The 23,613-nt window shown below is 41.2% G+C and overlaps 4 annotated features.

Moving 5' to 3' along the window:
- Nucleotides 589-668: an enhancer, noted in NCBI's record as "active region_24017". NCBI's record gives its function as "activates an Ori minimal core promoter by ATAC-STARR-seq in GM12878 lymphoblastoid cells {active_cell/tissue: GM12878}" and the evidence as "EXISTENCE:reporter gene assay evidence [ECO:0000049][PMID:35858748]".
- Nucleotides 17,671-18,342: an enhancer, noted in NCBI's record as "H3K27ac hESC enhancer chr6:12366181-12366852 (GRCh37/hg19 assembly coordinates)". NCBI's record gives its function as "activates a minimal SCP1, AML or CMV promoter by ChIP-STARR-seq in primed H9 embryonic stem cells {active_cell/tissue: H9 hESC(primed)}" and the evidence as "EXISTENCE:reporter gene assay evidence [ECO:0000049][PMID:30033119]".
- Nucleotides 18,368-18,568: a silencer, noted in NCBI's record as "peak5660 fragment used in MPRA reporter construct". NCBI's record gives its function as "represses an SCP1 promoter by STARR-seq MPRAs in K562 erythroleukemia cells {active_cell/tissue: K562}" and the evidence as "EXISTENCE:reporter gene assay evidence [ECO:0000049][PMID:32103011]".
- Nucleotides 20,356-20,675: an enhancer, noted in NCBI's record as "active region_24016". NCBI's record gives its function as "activates an Ori minimal core promoter by ATAC-STARR-seq in GM12878 lymphoblastoid cells {active_cell/tissue: GM12878}" and the evidence as "EXISTENCE:reporter gene assay evidence [ECO:0000049][PMID:35858748]".

The following is a 23,613-nucleotide window of genomic DNA, read 5'->3' as shown; positions in this document are numbered from 1 at the left end:
AGACAGAGTCTACTTAATTATAAAAGCCCAAATAAGCTGCAGGTCTTGGTGTAATGACCAAATAATTCTGTGGGAATTGGAGGCAACAAGCCTCCATGCGGTAGACTTGTTTTTCTGTTTTTTTGAGGTTGCCATTAATCTTATGAGAGTAACAAATGCATAAGGTGATCAAACAGATAAGGAAAATAAAGAACACTCAACCCATCCTCAACCTTCGGGGAATTTAAACGCACTGCAACAATGGAAATGGCCACACCACGCTTCATGCTACCTGGTTTAAGTGAAGAGTGGTTTGTAGAGGTACAGATCGCATCTGATAACATTCACAGGACAAATAGCCTAGGCCATCCCAATCAAAACTGCTTGTATATCTATTGAAGATACCTTATAATGAACACCATTACAAGTCGGACTCCAGCCACCACTCTTCTTCAAGAGAAGGTATAATTGATTGAAGGCCTTTTGTGAAAGTGCAGAGATTTCCTAATTGGGCTGCTTATTTTAGCTCAACCTGAGAAATGACTCTGATCTGAATAAACCGGTAAAAGGAGCCCGCAAGGGAACTGTCAGACAGGACGGTGACACTGATGACCAGGAAGATGACATAATTCAGACTTGCATTTCAGCTGCCAAATTTGGACACAGAAACTGGAGACAGAAAGGAAACTGGAGGCTGGGTGGAGAGCCACTGAGCCCTAACTCCCAGGGTGACCCAGCTGCCACCTGCCCAGTTCACAGCCTGGTGAGCAGCCTGAGGAGAAGGATGCCTCAGTCCTGTACAAATCTCTATCAGCTGAATGGATGGAAGCTGCAGCCACAGGCATGGGTAGCTCAGCACTTCTCCTGGGGAAGTCCCTGCGACGTGCCATGTTGGGGGAATGTAGAGCCAAGGTACATCGGATCTCCTCCAGCTGCCTGTGCAAACAGATTGTGGAAGCAGTCCAGATGTGTGGAAGGCTGGTTATGCTTTACACATAGACCTCTTTGTGTCTTCTCACGGGAGGGAGTAAAAACACTCATGAAGACCCCCTCAGAGAGAGAGGAAGGCTTGGACGTTTCAACACTTAATTCTTCATGTCCTATGCAGACACCACGTTGTGGCAGCTTGTAAATGATCCAAATAGCTCCTTTAAAGTCTGTTTTTAGGCACTACAGCAAATTTAAGAGAAACTGAAAATACTCTGTATGTTAGTTCTAGAGAAGACAAGTGTCCCAGAGAAGAACGGAGACATGGTGCCACCCCCACCTCTTTTACAGGGTTCCATGCTGAATACAAAGGGGAAATACTGATGAAAGAGATGCCAAGTTGCCTTGGGTTGGGCAGGGGAGAAGAACAGCGAGACTAGCTGGTATCTCTAGAGTAAAGGTATCCTCTAGCTGTACTCAAGAGGAGAACAATGACATCAGCTTCACATTTTGGAAGTGTAACTCAGCAAGTAGTTTATATGTCCTATTCAAGAGCCTGCCTGAGAAATGGCAATTGAAAATGTGAGGACAGAAATCACCAGTCGTGGCGCTACAATGTTGTCTCATTCGTTTAGCCATCAGGGTGCCCACGCTGCTGTGCTGAATGCTAGCAACCTGCTTTGCAAAGTAGTGACTTTTCCAGCATTTCAGCAGCAAAGTTGAGTCTTACATTTTCTTTTCTGGACAATGATCACCTCCAATTATTTTATTGTGTGAAGAACCCTTGATTTGAGACCTATCTCTCACTTGAGCACCTAAATGAGTAATTAAGGGGGATTTAGTGGAGAGACTAATTACAAAGGTGGTGCAGAGTTTAGGGAAACCAGCAAGGGGTAGTGCATTACCCCAAGGCAACAGCACAGGGCCATTACTATTCCTGGGCCTGAAGGAGATAGAGAGAGAGAGTCCTCACTGGAAGACAGAGGGTCTCCTAATAGAAACTTATCTAAGAACAACACCACCAGCCTCTAGGGGGGTGTTTAGGGGCATAAATACCCTAACATCACTCTCTTCATGCCTTCCTGACTCCCACCTGGGCCTCCTATTAGTCAAACACAACAAGAAGGCAGAAGGAAATTGACACATTAATAGCATCCATAAAAATAAGCCATTTTAGGTACAGAATGAGATGGGAAAATGTGGAGAGTGGATTCAATGAGCAAAATAAAAGATCCAGTCCTCCTCTTTTGCCCCTTGGCATCTACACTGGTTGTTTGGGTGAAAATATTGTGATTTCCACACAGGGGACACACAAAACTCTTTCAGTGGTATCCACTCAGGATAAATTCAGTCATATTCCCCTTGAAAACTTAAAGCATTATTGTGAGTGTTCTTCCTATAAGCTATAAGGTAGCAGGGGAAAAAGAAACAATATAAAACATAGCTCCACCTTCATAGCTGGTCATGAGAACAAGTTGATTGTCATACCTGCCTTCTTTTACCCATCTCTTGTTTCCTGACATTCAGCTTGGCCTGTGTTCTCTATGAGGGTGTAACTAAATCTTCATTTTTGTGGGATCTGAGTGCTTAGTCATCCTGTGATTATTGGGTTGCTACAGTTCTTTTACCATAATTGTTGGGCAAAAGACAAGTACTCAGAGATATTCCAGGGAATCTGCTAAGTCCTAAGCATGGTCCTTCATGCCTCATTGTATAGTAACATAGGGTGGTGAAAGAAGGAGACTGACTGAGATCCAGGATAAGGGTGACTTATCCTGATGACTGGATTATTAAGCAGATTATCTGACATCAATACTGTCTGGGCATTTATGGGGGATACAAATATCTATATACTCTTTGCCCATTCCAAAAGTTGCCCATCTACTATTTCCCCCAGAACTTCTTGCAACTTTCCAAGTCTTTATTTAGCAGGTCAACTCATCAGCTACCTCCCATGATATTAATGTAGATCCATAATTGTAATCATCCCTCTTTCCACATGATGTGGACAACTATATATAGTGCATGAAGTTAGACCCTCTGGGAGCTTTTCCCTTCATTATTATCATTCAGGGATCATCCCACATGGGACTATAAGGCAAATTCTATGCAGATAATAGGCAGCTTCATCTATAAACCTAGCCCACTTGGTTTCCTCATCCATTGGCTGGTTTTAAGGAACTCCCATGGGTCGTGGGTATGGGTTCCTACAAAGCAGTAGGAACAGTTATCCTAGGAGTCTGAGATGCCGGCTTATAAGTATACTTGTGCCTCCTTACCTGCTCAGGTCCAGTTTTTTATATTCATTTTTATTTGACAGTGAAATGCTGCGATTCAATGGATCAGGTAATACCGAGTTCAAGAGAAGTCTGGGTTGCACAGTCATTTAGTATCCCACGATCAGGCATAATCTGGAGTTGCTTTTCAAATAAAGAATTGTTGGCTGAAGAGGACATGCCCTTACTCTAAAATCTAGAACTTGTCTGTGAATATCCTCCTGGGGTTTTCCAGAAACTTCTAAGAACCACAGATATTCCCAATACTATTGGATCTGGTGGGACATAAGACCCAAGTGTCAGGCCAGCTTGCAATACATGGCGTGAACCTGCTTCATAACCTTCTTGCTCTTGCTACTTCCTGCCAAAGAGGCCTAATTAGCATAATGACACCAAAGGTATTAAGAAAGAAGTGTTAGTGTCTTTATTACATTTTTGATTTATTTTACCATTTACTTTTTTCTTTATGTATTTTAAATTACATTTTTGGTACACATAAATATTCAGAGTTACAATTTCTTTTTGCTAGACTTACCACTTATCATGGTAAAATGTTTTTCTAACTAATTATTTTTCTGATATTTATATAGACTCCTCAGCTTCCATTTTTTGTTTGTTTGTTTGTTTGTTTGAAATGGAGTCTTGCTCTGTTGCCCAGGCTGGAGTGCAGTGGGGCGATCTCAGCTCACTGCAGCCTCCATCTCCTGGGTTCAAGCAATTCTCCTGCCTCAGCCTCCCTAGTAGCTGGGATTACAGGTCCCAGACCTGTCACCACACCTGGCTAATTTTTTTGTATTTTTAGTAGAGATGGGGTTTCACCATGCTGGCCAGGCTGGTCTTGAACTCCTGACTTCAAGTGGTCCACCTGCCTCCACCTTCCGAAGTGCTGGAATTATAAATGGGAGCCATTGCACCTGGCCCCAGCTTCCTTTTGATTGATGTTTGCACAGTATATCTTTTCATATCCTTTTAGTTTGAAACTTTATGCTCTTGTAAGTATTATATACTTTATTTTGATTTTCTTATGGAGTCTGACAACAGTATTGTTTTATTGAGAGTATGGTATGGTTTGAATGTTCCCACCAAAACTGATATTGAAATTTAACTACCAATGTAATGGTAATGGGAGCTGGATCTTTAAGAGATGATTAGGTCATGAGAACTCTGTATTCACTAGTGGATTAATGCCATTTTCATGGGAGTGGGTTTCTGATTACACAAACAAAATAAGAGTTTGGCCTGATTTCCTCTCTCTATCTGGCATGTGCTGGCTTGCCCTCCTGCCATGTCAGGATGGAGCATGAAAGCCCCTGCCAGGTGCCAGAGCTATGCTCTTGGACTTCCCAGACTCTAGAACTGTGAGAAGTAATTTTTTTTCTTCACAAATTACCCAATCGGTGGTATTCTTTTATAGAAGCAGAAAACAAACTAAGACAGAGTATTTAGTTCATTTATATTTTATATAATTATGGATAAGTTTGAATTAATATTAACTACCTTTTTGTTTGTTTTCCATTTGACTTACTATGGTTCTCCTTTTTTCTTATCGTTTTTGGAAGTAATCAATTTTTTATTTAATTTTTTTCTTCTATTGTTAGTGTTAAATTATTTTATTGTTCCCTTAGTGATTATAACAGGCATTCTTAATTTCTTATAGTACTAACATAAATGATTGCTTTTACCAGTTTACTTACATTGCCAGAAATCTTTACATTCCATTTACCCACAGTCACTGCTGCATTATTATTGTCATACATTTTCAGTTCTGCATATAATTTAAACTCCACCAGACATCAAAATTATTGTTTTGTACAGTTGGCATTTGTTGAAATTTCCATATATTTTCTTATTATACTATTCTTTCTTTCCTCCAACATTTCCATGTTTCCATCTGGAATCATTTTCCTTAGGTCTGAAGGATTGGGCTCATTGTTCTTTAGCTTTTTCTTTAGTGTAGTTTGTTTTTGATTAATTCTTTCACTCTGCCTTTGTTTGAAAACATGTATGTTTCTCCATTTTTGAAGGTATTTTTACTGGATATAGAATTCCAGATTGGCAGTTGTTTTCTTTCAACCACTGAAAAATATTCAGTTGTCTTCTAGCTTTTGTCACTTCAGATGAGATATACCTCTCAATGTTACTTAACATTGTTTCTTTAAAAGTAATAGATGCCCCTCCCCTCAGCTGCTTTAATGATTTTAAGTTTTGACTTTAAGCAGTTTGACTATAATTCACCTCTTTGTGTTTATCCTGTTTGGGATTTGCTATATTTTTCCATTTCAAAATATCCACCTAATTTCTTTTTATGAATTTGAATTATCTATTAAAATTATCCATGCTTTTCTCTACTTTGTCCTTCTTGTTCTATTTACTTGAGTAGAATAATCACAATTTTACTGGTTTGGTAACACCTGCGGGTCTGCCTCTATTTTATGATTTTTCTGTTGCTTATTAGTCATATTGCTTCCTTACATGAACAATAATTTTAAAAATGTTTTCCAGATAGTGTGTACTAAAGAACTGTACTCACTCTAGAAGATGTTACCTTCCAACAGAAAGTATTCCTCCTGTCCTATTAGGAAGACAAACCAAGGTTTTGATCAATTCAATTTAGTCAGAAATTGAGCAGGATTGCTGCTGAGTTGCAGTGTAGTGAGAACCAGTTCCTCTCTGGTTTGCCTGTGCCCCTAGAGCATTGACCTCTGGCTTTTTGACTGAAAGCCTGAAGAATCTCCATGTCCTTGGTACCAAAAGATTTGAGCCCTAGCTCTGCCCCATCAGGTTCCATCCTAGATCTCTAGCTTTCCGTCCCATGTGTCTTCAAAATCTGACAGAGATCTTGAGAAGAGTGGCTTTGTAGTGAGGTCAGTTGCTCACTTTGTTTCCCAAGCACAAGCCTGTGAGAGATTTTACTCTGCCTTTTAGAATCTTTCATCTTAGTTCATCAGTCTTCTACATCCCAGCACTTTGGGAGACCGAGGTATGTGGATCACCTGAGGTCAGGAGTTCGAGACCAGCCCGAACAACATGGCGAAACCCCGTCTCTACTAAAAAATACAAAAATTAGCTGGGCGTAGTGTTGGGCGCCTGTAATCCCAGCTACTTTGCAGGCTGAGGCAGGAGAATCTCTTGAATCCAGGAGGCACAGGTTGCAGTGAGTCGAGATTGCACCATTGCACTCCAGTCTGGGTGACAAGAGCGAAACTCCATCTCAAAAAAAAAAAAGGATCATCCATGCCTTTTTCCTTGTTATCAAAATACGTTCTTGATTGATACAGATCTAAACATTAAAAAAAGAAAACAAAACTATGAAATACTCAAAAGAAAGCAGGAGATTTTTTATATATACAATCACTAGAGTGAGAAATGCCTAAGAATAAATCAAAGCCCATATTGAATTAGAAATCATAAAAGAAAATATTGACAAATTTGAAAAATTTTGCCTGGTAAAGCATGATAATCTAAGTCTCAAATGAACAACAAATTAAGAAAAAATATTTGTAACTCATACTCGGCAAAGAGTTAATTTTCTTGATATACAACAAGTTCCTATAAATCAATATGACCAAGATCAACAACCAAATGGAAAAAACGGACAAATGATAAAATTAGTCACTGCAGATTCTTAAACATATAAAAAGTCCTCACTCACAATAAGAGGAATGCAAATAAAAATTTCCCTGAGATACCAATTGCAACTATCAGATTCGCAAGAATTAGGCAGTTTACTTATAAACAATGGTGAAGATGTTGAGAAATAAGCACTTTTCTCGCTTCAGCAAGTGTAAACTGATACACTTTCTATAAGGGACAATTACCAAGATCAGTTTCCCATTCAACAAATATTTATTATCATGTCACTATGTGATAGAGGCCATGATGTTCTGTGGAACCTTACAGGTGAGCTGAGAACACAACAATTCAATGAGCATCTGTGACAAAAGGTGACAAATTTAAAGTGAGGGCTGTTACTGGATACTATGGCGACATCAGGAAAAGCTTTCCAGAAGTATCATTTAAGCTGAATCCTGAAAAGAGGGAATTAGTTGGCTATGCAGATCACTTTCCTGCCTTGCTCTGTCCTGCCATGTATCAGAGGGGACTGCATTTCATGGGCCCCTTATCCTCCAGTTTCAATGCAATCCAGCCAAAGGAAAGCACAGTGGGAGAATGGCTGATAAGGGGAGGGGAAAAGCTGGATATTTCACTCCCTCATTCCTTTTTGTTTCAGGAGGATCCCAAGCAATGGTTGAGTCTCCTCCATGGCTCCAGAACTCACAGGATAGCCCCTTTCTCGCTGGTCCATGGCTCCTGCTCTGATTTTAGTATCTGGTTCCTGGGATCAAATAACATCATCTCCTCCTTCCATCCCTCCAGGACTAAGGGTAGCAATGATTTATTCTTCTTTGCAGTCTCTGAGTCACATCAGTTCCCTTGCTTGCTTTCTCAGCTTTTCTATTATCTATGTGACCAGTTCCCTGTATTAAATTTCTTCCTGTCTGAAACTACAGTTGTTTCCATTTTTTGGAGTAAACTTGAGCAGACTAATATACCAGATAAAAAGGATTAGTGCTCCAAGAAGGGAAAATAGAATGTCCTAAAAGTAAGTCTAACTGGAGGAAATATGGTGGAAGGAGGTGAGAGAAAGGAGAAGCAAAATGATTCAAAATCAAGTGTTTTCATGTGAGGACATCCATTGATGAGAATTTTTTCAGGAGGGTGACCCTAGTAGCAGTGTGTTGAATGGAATAGAAAGGGAAAGACTGGAGGAAGAGGGTCCAGTTGGGAGGCTGCAGTAGCAAAGTGGACAAATGATAATGACATCTGAATGGAGGCAATGCAGTGGAGATGAAAAAATGAATGGATTGTAGGGACATGTAGGGATAAGTATGAGTAGAGTTTAGTCATTATTCGGATGGATGGGTGGATGGATGGAGAAAGAGAGAGAAAGAGAGAAATGAAGCAACACTGGTTTTTTCCCTACATTATTTCTTCATCTGGTTGCACAGAGCGTGTTACACTATAGATATTTTTTCAGTACTCTCATTTGGAGGTTCTCTAAGTTATTAAAACCCTGTAATAAAACAGGTGAAACATTAGGATATTTCCATGTCCCTTTTTGATGACTGGGCTCATGAGAAAGAGGCAAGTTACTTAATGTCTAACAATTGATGTCAAAATTCTGAAGCAGGTTAGTGCCACTGTGCCAAAGACAAATGAAGCCTCTGTTCCATCCATCAGTTTATTGAGGTTGGTTATACAAAGAGATCCTTGTACAGTCCAGACATATCCATAATAAGGAAAATGCCTAAGTCGCTACTACAAAGCATCATTTAAAAAAATTTATTGCTGTGTCTCCAAACCAGCTTCCAATTATTTATGAATTTATTCTAGGAAATTGGAGTAAAATGTGAAAAAAATAAAAGAACAAAAGTAGATAAGAGCCATTCATAGTCCAGTTAAGAAAGGAAGGAAAAGTGGCACTCTAAAGAGAATAGGCTATAAATCTTCGTCAAGGTTCTAGCATTTGAGAGCTGAAGGTCTGTCGTTTAGAATTTGTCTAAACAACAAAGAAGGAAGAACAGGGAGGAGCAGGCAAAAACCACAGTAATCCTGATTTTCCACTGTAAATCGTCCAGAATTCTTCATCATCCTGAAGGCCCATGAGAATCTAGTCCACTTCCTGTAGTGATGCTGCGGTGGAGCACTCAAGAACACAACTGTGGGGTCACTTGCCTGAGTCCAAATCCTGGCTTTACAGTTTGGTGGCAACATCACTGTCACTACTAATGAGCCTAGTTACTTAATGTCTCTGGGCTTCAGTATGCTCATCTATAAAATAGAAGATTAACAGCAATATTAGAAAAAAATTCGAATTACAATAGCATCAAAAATAATAAAATAGGAATAAACTTAACCAAGGAGATAAAAGACTAGTACACTAAATTCTACAAAATATTGGTGAGGGCCGGGCACAATAGCTCACGCCTGTGATCCTAGCACTTTGGGAGGCCAAAGTGGGAAGATTGTTTGAGGCCAGAAGTTTAAGACCAGCCTAGGCAACATAGTGAGATCCCATCTCTATAAAAAATGAAAATTTTTTTTTTAAAAATGCTGAAAGAAATTAAAGACACAAACGGATTGGAAAGATATCCATATTTATGGATTGGAAGGTGTAACATTGTTAAAGTCTCACTACCACCCAAAGCAATCTATAGATTCAGTGCAAACCTTAACAAAATCCCAATAGCATTTTTTTGCAAAATTAGAAAAATTCATTCTAAAATTCATATGGAATCTCAAGGGACTTTGAGTAGCCCAAACAATGTTGAAAAAGAACAATATTGGCAATCTCATACTTCCTGATTTCAAATTTTACCACAAAGCTACAGTAATAAAAACAGTGTGGCACTGGCATAAAAATAGATGTATAGACCAATGGAATAGAATAGAGGGCCCAGAAATAAACCTTTGTCTATTGGGTTGAATGATTTTTGACAAGGATGCCAAGGCCATTCAGTAAAGGACAGTCTCTTTAGCAATTAATATCAGAAAAACTCGATATCCACATGCAAAAGAATGAAGTAGGACCTTACCTTACATCACATGCAAAAATTAACTCAAATGCACCAAAGACCTAAATACAACAGATGGGCTGCATACAGTGGTTCATACCTATAATCCCAGCACTTTGGAGGCCAAGGTGAGAGGATCCCTTGAGCCCAGGAGTTGGAGACCAGCCTAGGCAACATAGTGGGACCCCGTCTCCACAAAACATACAAAAATTAGCCAGGTGTAGTGCACCTATAGTCCCAGCTACTCAAGAGGCTGAGGTGGGAGGATTGCTTGGGCTCAGGAGGTTGATGCTGCAGTGAGCCATCGTCATGCCACTGCACTCCAGTCAGGGTGAGAGAGTAAGATCTTGTCTCTAAACAAATAAATAAACGTAAGACATAAAGCTCTAAAACTATTAGAAGAACAGCAAGACTAAAGACATGTGAAGCTCTTAGAACCTGGAACTGAGTAAATTCCCTGCCTCAGTCATACATGGATGGCTCCATGGGGCAAAGAATGGGCTGCTTACTTTACCCAGAGGTGTAGCAGATAGAAGGGCTTATTCCCTACATCTAGTGAAAACAAGACCAAATTATCAGGGGAAAAAAATGTACAAGTCTAAAGACAGAAGGACCACTAAAATCACGAACTCTTAAACTGAATCAAATCTTGTAGTTCATGCTGCCAGTGGGGAAAGACCCTGAACATCTGAAAAATTCCAGTGAAGGGAAACCTACTACCCCGAAGCACAATCCACTGCCTGTTGCAAACTCTACCTCCTTGCCTGTTTCCTCAGAGTTAATCTGCTTCTTTCCAGCAGTTACTATTGGATCTACTGCCACTCTCTTTCCAGACAGTCTTAAACTGTATTTGGAGATAACTATAAAACTGTATTTTGGCAGATGTCTTCCTGCTGACAGCCAGCAAAAGGTGGGCTCAGCTAGAAGCAGATCAGGACTGTGTGATGAAGCTGTTAATAAAGAAGCTAACTCAAAATAAGCCTGCTTTGTTGATGGCACAAGGGAGGTAACAGCTCCCGTGTTCTGTATATTTCAGAAAATCTGCTAAGCTTTGTGTGAATCAATGAATTCGTGATGAATAAGTGAATGAATGAAGGACAGCTAGCATGAGGGGTCTAGAACCATATCATACAAGAAACAAGCAGTTGTGTTCATATTCCAAGTATTGAAGAGAATACTAAATAAATCCATTCTTAATATCTATGTCTAAGCTTCCAGAGGACTGTTGTTGTGAAGAAAGAGCCTTTTCTTTTTAAACTTATTAATTCAGCTCTACTGCTGTAAGGGACATGCAATGGCCAGGAGGAGGATTGCTCTTAGAGGTGAGAACTAAGACAAATGTGTGGAGGTTACAGTGATGCTGACATAGGCTCAAATTAAGGAAGACCTACTTTAAAATTAGAACAAACAAAGGACAACTCTTCCCGGAGATCTGAGCTCTCCCTCAATCACAGTGCTATAGGAATGCTCACCAAGGACACCTGTGTTAGGTGAGGAGAACCCCCGTGTGGTACCCAAAGCTGAGATCCTATGAATTCTGTGATTTCTCAAGGCAGCTTCTTCAGTTCTGCCAGCTCTGTGAGATATTATACCCTGATCAAACTCCTGTTCCTCATAGATTCTTCTGAAGCCCACAATAGAATGGATTTTATCCCCGTTTCTTAGGGTTAGAACTGATTGGCCAAAGTGAAACTTTCTCCAGCACTCATCTACTCTTACTGATTTATATTTTTGCTTATCTACACCCTAGACATTATAGAGACTTCCAGACCCTGGAATGTGACCAAGAGATGGATAATCTCACCAAAATTTCCTTAGACATGTGTGGATCAGATTAAATAACATTGTGGCACTGATACACATGGCATCACCAAACACATAGACGGCATGTGTCTTGTCCCTAAATACCACCCCAATGCCCTCTGGCCATTTTTCTGTTTGCTGTACTACAAGGTGCAAAGGGAGGCATCACTAACATGCACACACCAGTATCCACAGCCCGTGGGCATCCCAGCACCAAGGAGAAGGTCAATGGTAACAGCCGATTTTTCTAAATGAAAACTAAATAAATACACAAGGCAAACGCAAACATTCATTATCTTCAGGATGTATATGCTTGAAACAGACCTGTTATTCTATCACACCCCATTTAGAAAAATTAAAAACAATATAATACATAAATTGCTTGCTGAATTTAGGAAGAGGAAAACTGTATGGCTGAGTGACTTGAAGCCTCTGATGGGGACAGAGATGCTCTGGTGCTATTCTTCTTCCCAGCTTCCCAACCTGAACTCACTGGGTGACTTTAGGCAATGGGTCTGTCCTTCTGTGCCTTCGTTTTCTCAAAATTAAGGCACACATGAATAGCACCTTGTCTCCCATTCTGGGCTTTTGTGAGACTTGACAAAGGTTGTATCTCTTCTCTTAATCCCACTAGATTACTTCAGTTGGCTTCATCGTGGTCCCTTGCCAGTAATGCACAAAGCCTTAGACTATCACATCTGACCTCTGCACCGACCATGGAAAATCAATATGACTTTTTGTGTATGTGTATTTTCACCAGTTAAATTTAAAATGAAGTGTTAAACAAGATTCTTGGTGTGCTTGACATCTAAGTCCAGATTTGGCAAAGGATAAGATCCTGCCCTTGGGAGCTAAGGCCTCAGATATGGTATCAGGTTAGTAGAGAAGCAGCTCCAAGGTTAACTCAATTGCTGAGACATTTATGGTACTTCTCTGTTGATTATTTACCTTGGGTGCTATTTTAGTGAGCTGCAATGACCTGAAAAGATAACACTGGGAAACTGATGATTCATCCTTTCGTAAGAACAGGGCACCTTCCCTAGGCAATACAGTAGATTTTACTAGTGTTCTTCTTGAAGCTCTGTTTTTAGAAAAGGGTCTGAGCTTACTGAGCTATACCATACTTCTGTCAACATTCATGTCAGGAAAATGGCCAGGTAAGACATGCTCAAAGATTCTCTCTTCTGTTACTTTTATTATTTTTATTACCAAGTCACAGTCCATACCGAATAAGCCTCTGGGTATGGGACACAGGCATCAGGATTTTTTGAAGCTCTCCAGGTGATTACTTGTCTTACCTTACTTGTCTTACCTTAAATGGAAAAATTAATCCAACTGTCCAAAATCCCCTATTGTCATTCATTCAACAGGCATCTGTCAAATTCCTGCTCTGTATTAGTCACTGAATTAGGTACTGAGTAGAACTTGTAGAGAAGAAAATAGACATGGCTCCTGGCTTCTTGGCACTTGCACTAGTGGGAGAGATCATTGAGAAAACAAGGAAACAAGAAAATGAATAAATAATTATGAGATGTGATAATTCTAGCAAGTAAGCACACAGTGATACAGAATTAGAGAAAGAAGGTGGAGATTATATTGGGTGGCGAGGTAAAACTGGAGGACCAAAGGATGGAGAGGCATCTTGGCTGGGAGTTTCAGGGAGGTAGTTCCAGGGAAAGAAGAATAGCATGTGTGGAGGCTCTGAGCCGGGAAAGTTGGACACATCTGGGAATAAAGGAACTTTATTGCTTGTTACTCAAAATGTGGTCTGTAGAGCAGCAGCATCAGGATTCCCTGGGAACTTTAGAGAAATGCTGAATCCCAGGCCCCACCCCAGACCAAATGAATCAAAATTTCCATTTTAACAAGATCCCCAGGTAACTTGTGTTCATATTAAAGTTGAGGAGCACTGTCAAAAAGCATAGGTTCCAAGTGTGGGTATACATTGAAATCACCCAGAGAGCTTCAAAAAATCCAGATGCCTGGGTCCCATCCCCAGAGGCTTACTTGGTATGGACTGTAACTTGGACATCAGGATTTTTGTTAAGCTCCCAAGGGATTCTAAAATGCAGCAAAATTTGAGAATCACTTATCTGAAGAACAGCGCAAAGGGTAGACGCTTGATAAATATTTGTGAATCAAATGCTTGACCCTATAGCTTTCCCAGAGATTCCTGCAAACAGGCTGCAGGCAGGCACGAATGTTACTCTCCTCCAAATGAGTGCACTAGAAGGGCTGCGTTTCCCAGAAAAATGAAACAAAATCATGAACCATTCGGAGAAATGAATTCAAAGATCACTATTCCAGGAACCAATTAAACTCTTCTGTCTGTCAGGGAGCCACTAATTTGGGCATTTTTGTGAATTCCCTGTAGTTGGAAGGGGATCTCTCTGGTGGCTGGACACAGGTGAGGGAATGCAACCCTGAGTTGGACTCATGGAAAGACAGCATGATTTTCAGATTTTCTTTCCCAACGACGGAGAGCTCACACCAGAGAAAACCCTCTTCAGGACAGTCTGGTGACATTCTTGACTAATGAGCTCAGAACAGAATGTCCCTGCCCTGGCATTATCAGGGAAGACTTGAGGGGGGGCGGGGTGTGAAAGAGTACAGGGTGTCATCGAATGGACGATGTGCATAGCACAGATCTGTGGGGAAGCCCCCTGGGTATTTCCTGCACCTGTGCGTCGCAAGTAATAACAGCCAACAACGCGTGCATACATTGGAGAGTTCAACACAAACACCGTGTCAAGGACCATTAGTGACCATGGGCACAGTCAGCTTCCCATTGCCCAAGAGTGGCCCAAGAACTGAGAAGCGCAGAGCAACCCCTGCACTCACCACAGGAGGTTGCAAAAGATGTTTAGGAGAATAAGGCTCACTCATTTCCTCCTTGCCAGGGCCCTCAGCTTTTAAGGCCTCTTCCAAATACTGCTATACCAGGTAAGAAATAGTCATGCAAGTTGAGTAATAATGTAAATTGACACTGGAGGAAGGGGCAAGAAGGGAAATTGGGATGACACAGATCGATCTTTAAGGGCTTCCTCAACCTTGTGGGAAAAACAAAAGATTTTTATTTTTAATAATAAAATAAGCAATATCCTGGCATGGAGGAGATACTATGAACCCCAGAAATAGCTGCATTAACCCTTTCTGGCTTTTCAGCACACTGCTGACTCAGCAGAATGAACAACTTTCTAGTTGAAAGCTGCCCACTCTGAAGTGTAGGCACTAAATAAAGTTACCATGTTTTAAGGGTCATGAAGATGGCTTGGCTAAATGTGCCTAAGCAAAATTGAAGAATTACATGGGCTGAAGAATGCATAAATATATCACTTTCTCATATATAAATGTCTTTGAAAATAAGAATGTCAAAATTCAATGTGAACTGAATAACTGAATATCAAGGAAACAGCTTATTCTTTGGGAGTAAATGATTTTCCTCAATAACTTGTATTCAGTGTGCTTCTTCTGTGGGCTTCCTAAAGAGCTGGAAATGCAGTCCCTGCAATGGCTGTGTGCACATGGTGCCCACCCATGAGTACAGCCGTGTAAGGTACAATTATTGATGAGTTTCACACCTGTGCCTGGACTGCAGCAAGAGACCAAAGAAAAGCATACTAAGACGCTGCCTGGTTCCACATTAAACTCATGACCACAAGCCGCACGTGGACCTGAATATTGCCCATCAGAGATTCCATGTGTCCAAACCCCACTCTCTCCCACCATCTTTGATGTTTATTTCCCACCTTCTTTCTTCTAAAACGCCTCATCTCGCTTCCTTATCTCCCTATTTCCATTTTTTAAGTAGAAATTAAAGAGAAACCCCCCATTCTGCCACCATCACCTTTACTCAACAACTGATATCTGTGCCAGTCCATACATTCTGCTTTTTCTCTGTTTTGCCACAGATACGCTGTCATTACTGCTAACCAACAGCAACGATGACACTTAGGCGTTAGATCCCACCCCCTCCTATCATCTTGAGGAGTGAGCCCTCTCTCCTGCCTCATTGTCTCTCTTCCCTGTTAGAGAATTCTCATAAATATGTCAACACATTATAAGGCCCCCCATCTTTTTAATCCTCCTTTGCCCTCTCCATCTCTCTCCGTGACCACCTAATTTCTCTGCTTCTCTTTAGAGCAAAACTTTTCAAAGGACTTGCAAAAGATTTGTTTATTCTCCTTATCTCTACTTTTCTTCCTTATTCCTTTTTGACCCAAATCTAATCTGGTTTTTGTCCCCACCACTCCATGTTAACTATGTGTATCAAGGTTACGAGAGAATTCTTCATTATTAAATCTAATGATCAATTCTCAATTTTTGTCTTGTGTAAACTAGCAAAAGCATCAAAACACTATTTGGTTTATTGGACTCTTAGGTCTTCTCCTAGCTTCTGGAGAACTTCCCAATCTCTTTTGCTGCTTCCTCTTCATCAGCTCTAACTTTCCATTTGGAAATAGCCCAAAGCTCTTCTCTCTCTGCCTACCCTCACCCGCTAGGTGATCTCATACAATTTCATGGCTCTAACCATCTCCTCTGAACTTTAACCTGTACATCCTCCTCCTTACTTGACATCTCCACTTGGATGTCAACTGAACAAATTGAACTTACTGTGTCCAAATCCAGATGCTCAATTTTCCTCTCAAACTTGCTCTTTTCCCCAATCCCACTAAACAACAACTCAATTTTTGCAGTGGCTTGGGCCAAAGACCTTAGAATCATCTTTGGCTCCTCTCTTTCCCTTATTCCCCAACTTCACAACATTTAATTATGCAGTAAACTTCATAGGCTGTGTCTTTAAAATATATCCTGAATGTATCTGAGGATTTATTGGCACTTTTACCTCTGCTGTCCTATGTCAAGCCATCAGCATCTCTCCCCTTGATTATTTTAGTCACATCCAATGTGTTCTACCTGCTTCAATATTTGCCCCCTTATTTCTCCATAGGACAGTTGGAGTAATCATTTTAAAATATATGTCCCTCTTCTGCTTAAAATCTTCTAGTAGCCAAAGCCTTTTAATGACCAACAAGTTCCCACACAACCTTGGCAGCCATGCCCCACCCTGCACCTGTGTAGCTCCACCCACCCACCTGACTGCCATGCTTCTATTTTCTCACTCTGCTTCAGCCACAGTGGCCTCCTAATGACTCCTAACATGCCAAGCAAGCTCCTACCTCAGGGCATTTGCACTTGCTTGTTTGCCTGCTGGTCTAAAAACTTTCCACCTTACCCTGCTGTTAGCTAAATAGTTTGCTACCTTTTGCCTAGTGGTGTCTTCTCAAGTGCTCCCTGATCAGCAAAACCTTCCCGATCACCCTTTGCAAAATACCAATTTCCACCCAGCATCTTCTTTCCCCTTTATCATGATTGATTTTATACCTGTAGCACATGTGATCACGTTATATATCATATGTATTTCCTTACTATTTGCCTCCCTTCGTTAGAAATTATCTCTTTAAGAGCAGAGATTTTGATTTGTTCTTGCCATATTTATAGCACCTAGAACAGAATTTGTCATGTCAAAATTTGTCATGTCAAATGAGTGAATGAAGAAGTATAGCCAATTTAGTCGTTGCAGCAGTGGAACAAATATCAAACAAGTAAAATCAGTCTTTGCTATCAAAGCAGTTGTGTGCATGAACAAAGATAATTCCACCATACTGACTAAGAATCCACTATATGCTAAGCATTGTGTTATGCAATGTAATGAGAAAACAGTGGTTGTCTTTTACTCTTTCTTCAAGAGAACTAAACAGCAATAAGGAAGGTAACGTGCAAATGGGTGGTGAGAAACGAGATAACACATTCAAGGAAAACATAGCAATTCTCAGCTGATAGGAGTATTATAGCATAAGCATTTATGAAGGTCCTGCTGTGTGCTTTTAGCTAACATTTATTGAGCTCTTGTGATATGCCAGGCAGGACACCAAGCGCTTCGCAGGTATTAACACATTCGCAGCTTAGAAGAATATTATGAGGCACATATTATTTTAAATTCCACTTTACAGAAGACAAAACTGAAGCACAGAAACTCAAGTTAGTGACCCATGATAGCACAGCATAAAAATAATGTAATTAGATAAATACGAAAACCACAAATGTGCAGACTAAAAAGCAGGAAGAAAGCAGACCTATCAGTGATCAAAACGCATTTATTTGCTTATCATGTACTCAACATCGGGTACTATATGAAAACAATCCCATATAGTAAGAGTATTGCACTTTTGGAGGTGGTCTCCCCTTTTCAGAAGAGTTGCTATTGGGGTATTAGGGCCTTATACCACTGATTCTCAATGTTTAATAAAAATAAGGGTCAACTGGGGATCTTGGTAAAATGCAGATTAGGTCTGGGTGGGACCTGAGATTCTGCATTTGCCACAAACTCCCAGACAGTGCTTCTGCTAGAGGCCCATCCTTGCTACCCTGAGTAGCAAGAACTCAGACAAATTAGTACCCACATCTGGTTAAAAAAATAGGATGGTGCGGTGGCTCATGCCTGTAATCCCAGCACTTGGGGAGGCCAAGGTGGGTGGATCACTTGAGCTCAGGAGTTTGAGACCAGCCTGGGCAACATGGTGAAACCCTGTCTTTATCAAAAATACAAAAATTAGTAGGGTGTGGAGCCGCGTGGCTGTGGTCCCAGCTACTCAGGAGGCTGAGGCAGAAGGATCTCTCAAGCCTGGGAGACAGAGGTTGCAGTGAGTCAAGATCATGCCACTGCACTCTAGCCTGGGTGACAGAATGAGACTGTGTCTCAAAACACACACACACACACACACACACACACACACACACACGTTGACCAATTTGTAAATGACAAGTAGAGAAGTCACCTCAAATGAGTGAAGTGTGGACTGTTGGGAAAGATAAGCTGTCTCTGTCCATTTTGACCATAAACCAAAGGAAAAGTTAAGATTGTCTGGAAAAACTTTTCAAGTGGACCACTGTTGCCAATTTTTATGTCATTTATAGTTTTCTAACAACAGTAGTCAGAGATGAAATTGGCTTCATCCCCAGGCCTTTAACTTATCTATTGTTCCCACTGGACCAGCAGCTCGCTTTTAAAATACCTTCTTGGTTTATCTTTAACCCAGAAGCATGGTGTTTTCCTGGTCTTTGGCTGGATCCCTGCTTCCTCAGCCTAAACAGAAGTCTACCCTGTGAGAGTCCCCTGCTGCGGGCACTTTTCCTGCTTGCTGCTAAAGGAATTCCAGAGAAACAAAAGCAAGGAGGCCGCTCACCCCTTCCAGCCCCCACCCAGAAGGCATTTTTGCTTTGAGATTCCACCTACAGGCTCCACTGGTGAAGTTTCCCCGGAGCAGAGTGCCTCCATTCCGTTCCTACTTAACAGTCATGGTGAGGTTAGAAGGTTAAGGGAGCCTGCCCTGCAGAGAAATTTGCAAAGATTAACTAATGCAGACAACAAGTGTCCGGAAGAGCAGAGAAATGTGAGGTCTACTTTATGGGGAAAGCTACCCAAGGCAGACAGGAGGAAGTTTCAAGCACAATTGGACAGTATCTCAGAATTGTGTGGATGTGTGTGTAATAAGAAGTATACATAAAAATCTACATAATATATATTTTATATATAGTATGGGTTTTTACATACTGTATATAACTGTATATATACACACACATAACAGTGTGTGTGTGTCTGCATATGTGTGTGACTATATATGTCTGTATATATGTTACGTGTATGTATATGTGTGTGTATATACACTGTTACATACACACACACACACACACACACTGTTGTGGGCTAAACTGTGTCCCTCTAAAATTCATATATTGAAGTTCTAATGCTCAGTACCTCAGAATGTGACTGTATTTGGAGAAAGAATCTGTAAAGAGGTAATTAAGGTAAAATGAGGCCATATGTGTGGGTCCAAATCCACAACAATTGATCTCCTTATAAGAACAAGAGATGTAAGACACAGACACACACAGAGGGAAGACCCTGTGAGGACACAGGAGAAGACGGCATCTACAAGCCAAGGAGAGAGGCCCCAGGAAAAACCAAACCTGCCAACACCTTGATCTTGAACTTCCAGCCTCCAGAACTATAAGATAAATTTCTGTTATATAGGACACCCAGTCTGGTATTTTGTTATGGCAGGCCTAGCAGACTCTCTCTCTCTTTCTCTCTTTCTCTCTCTCTCTTTCTCTCTCTCTCTGTCTCTCTCTCACACACACACACACACAGACACACACACACACACACACACACACAGGTTGGCCACTAAGTCTGAAAACACAGACAAACATATTTTAAAATATTTATTGTTTTCCTACTACAAAGAATGATAAAATGATATTATCTAAGAGTCAAGATTTTATGGCCCGCTCTATAGGCATAAACGTCTCGGCCTTCTCCCTGCACAGGGGGAAGGGAGGGTAAAGTAAATATCGAGTCAACGATAAGGCTGAGAAGGAGCCTAAGAAGTCTACTGCACAGTGCTTGGCCAGATTTGGGGGTGAATGTTCCGTTTCCCCAAGAATAGCTTCCTTAGAGTTCTTTTTCCTCAGATGCCATTAGGCTCTCTTCAACCTTGTCCCATGGCATGGCCACACTCGGCCCCCACTTGGCCTTTCACCAGGCACCCTCCATGCGGCTTTGGACGTCTCCGTGCTCTGTGAATGCCCTTCCCAGACATTCTCCAGCAAGGCCTCAGCTGAGGGGGAGGCAGGGCAGGGCTATGCCTGTCTTGAGTTGGTTAATGATTACCAAGAATCTGGAAATCCTTCTACCATGGTTATGCACAGAAACTGAAATGTCAAATTAAAAACAGAACCCCTGAGATAAGAAGAAAGTGGGACTGAGAAGCAAGAGCCCAGCTTGACCAGTGAGGCTCTGGAAAATCTGTGGTTTTGGGGGACAAGAAAAAGTTCCTGTTTTTTGCGGCAGTAGTGATTATAAAAATAGCAGTGTCATCATTTTGTTCAATGAGGAAGTCCAAAAATAAATATATGGGGTGAGCTAATGAAGGACTTTCCATGACATCTCAGGTCACAGAAAGGAAAGAAAGGGGAACTTCTATATTTAAAGGTCCTATTATAACAGGAGCTATGTTTCTTTCCTATTTTTTTTTTTTTTTTTTTTTTTTTGAGATGGAGTTTCACTCTTGTTGCCCAGGCTGGAGTGCAATGGTGTGATCTCCATTCACTGCAACCTCTACCTCCTGGGTTCAAGCAATTCTCCTGCCTCAGCCTCCAGAGTAGCTGGGATTACAGGCATGTGCCACCACGCCCCGCTAATTTTGTATTTTTAGTAGCAACAGGGTTTCACCATGTTGGTCAGGTTGGTCTCGAACTCTTAACCTTAGGTGATCTGCCTATCTCGGCCTCCCAACGTGTTGGGATTATAGGCGTGAGCCATGGCTCCTGGCCTGTTTCTATAGCTTATCTCATGTAATTTTGACCATAATCATATAAAGTAGACTTTATTATTCTTATTTTGTACAGGAAGAGCTGAGAAGTTAGGTAATACAGACATTGTTGGTTGAATGACCCAGCAGACCTTCCCATCCTTTTCTGTCTGCTGCCTTTCTCGATGGAAGTTGGAGATGGTACATATTCTCCTTTTCTGCCTTCTTTGCAGCTGTAGATGGCCTGACTACATGACAAAGTTCTAGCTAATGACATATATATGTATGCAGAATAATCCCAAATTTACATCTACGGCCTGGACTTCTAGTCTATATCAGAACTTAAGTATCCAACTGCCTACTCAACATCCCTATTTGGGTAGCTACTAAGAATCTCAGCCTAACATATCCACTTCTGTTCTCCTGTACTTCCTGGCTATAGCTGCCTCTGTTCGTTCTTGTCATGCAAGTAAAGAGCAACTCATTGCTCCAGGTGCACAGAACTGCAAACTCAGCCACCCTTGCCCCTCTTTCTCTCACACTCTGTATCAAGAGTATCCAATCTTTTGGCTTCCCTGGGCCACATTGGAATAAGCATTGTCTCTGGTCACTCATAAACACACTAACAATGGCTGAAGAGTTTTTAAAAATCACAAAAACATCCCATAATATTTTAAGAAAGCTTATGAATTTGTGTTGGGCTGCATTCAAAGCCATCCTGGGCCACATGCAGGCTGTGGACCGGTATTTGAGACCAGACTGGGCAGCAGCTTGTTCTATATCATCAATCAATCCTTGGTCTCTGCTAGCTCTACTGCTGCCATACTGGTCCAAGTCACCAGCATTTCTAGCTTAGAAGCCTCCTAATGGGTCTCCACGTTTCCATCCTGCCACTCCCTTCCACATGGTCTCAGCACAGTACCCAGAGTGAGTCTGTTAAATGTAAATCAGATGGTGTCCCTTCTCTGCTCACAACAGTCTCATGGCTTCTCATCTCACTCAAAGTAGAAGCCAAAATCATTCAGAAGCTCAGAAGGCTCTACAGGACCTGGCCCCTCACTTTCTCCTCTCCCATGCCCCAGCTCCCTCTGCTTCAGCTACGCTAATCTCCTTGCATCAGACCTTTGCATTTGATACACTGTCCTCCTCCCAGGAAAATATTTGCCCAATTTATTTGCATGGTTTACTCTTAACACCTTCTTGTCTTTATTCCAATGTCACCTTCTCAGTAACAGCTTTTCATTCCATTAAAAAAGGAACCTCTCCCCGCTACCACCACCTGGAACAGCCTCCCTTCTTCCTGGATTTATTTTGTCTATAGCATCTATCATCATCTACTACTACATTTTTCACTATTTATGTTGTTTACCGTCTTTCTCCCCCTTCCCACTAGAGTGTCACTTTCATTTCAACGAAGATTTTTTTCTGTTCTGTTAAAAATTCTAAGTGCTGCCGGAGCACTTAGAAAAATACCTGGCCTGTAATAGCTTCTCAATAAATATTTCACCAATTAATTAATTAGTTCTTTAATGCTAGGGGATTTGAGGGGAATAATTTGGCTTCTTAAATAAGGGACAGGCATCAGAGGAGTCATTCCTGTCTTTAGAAATGCTGAGAATACATAAGCAAAAGTATAGAAGGAAGTCTTATGTCATATTGAGCCACTGAAGTTTCACCTACACTCTCTTACCTCCAGACATCCCATTGTGTAAGGAAAACAACACCTTATTCACTTAAACTAGGTGTCAGCAAACTATGCCCCACAGGCAAATTCTGGCCCGCTGTCTGTTTTTGTAAATAAAGTTTTATTGGAATACAATCAGGCCTATTCATTCATGTCAATGGTATCTCTTGGGCTGCAAGAGTTACAAGGCCCACAGAGCCTAAAAGATTTACTATCTGCCCCTTTACAGAGAAAGTTTGTTAACTCTTTATTGTGGCAAGTGTCAGCTGAATTTTCTGTTGGTATCAGTCAAATGCATGGTGTGTTGCTCAGGTGTCCTGCTGCAGGGAGCTCACCTGAATGCTGGCCCAGCCGCTAACTTCTGGATCCCCAACCTCCTTGTCAGAACCACACTTCCTCCAAACTGCTCTTTCCCAGTGGCTGAGCACAGATGCCATTCCTGTGAGATGCAGGTCTTCTTGCACTTTGGCTGGAGGACTCCCATCAACCTGGCCAAAACATTCCTGCAACTGCTCTGGAATCTGAGAGTGCCCTTAGCCAAAACTTCTTCCTTCTTTCTTCCCTTCATAGGGGTCAGACCAACATCATGGCCTAAGGGGCTCCCTACCTACTCCTCCTTCTTTCTTTAACCTTCATGAGTTCTTCCTCCAATAAATCTGTTATCTTGGCTTCTGCTTCTTAAAGAACCCCAACTAATAAACATTCTTGCTTGATAGACTGCAGTCATGGAACTGGTACAATACGATCCTTAGATTCAAACTAACACCTCATGGTGTTGGGAAAGCATGCAAAACTCATGCTTTCCCAACACTGCTCAAATAGTACCATATCCCTGGACACTTGTTTTGCCTTCCTCCTTATGTTCATTTATTCAGCAAGGAAAACACAAGAGCATTTATGCTCATGGACCACATTTTATTCACATGTATACTCCAGCACCTAACAGAGTTTGTCAAACAGCTGGCAACTTTACAAATATTGCTTGGATGAATGAA

Source organism: Homo sapiens, chromosome 6 (genome assembly GCF_000001405.40).
Source record: "Homo sapiens chromosome 6, GRCh38.p14 Primary Assembly".
NCBI classification, from domain to species: domain Eukaryota; kingdom Metazoa; phylum Chordata; class Mammalia; order Primates; family Hominidae; genus Homo; species Homo sapiens.
This window is presented reverse-complemented; position numbering and strand designations above follow the sequence as displayed.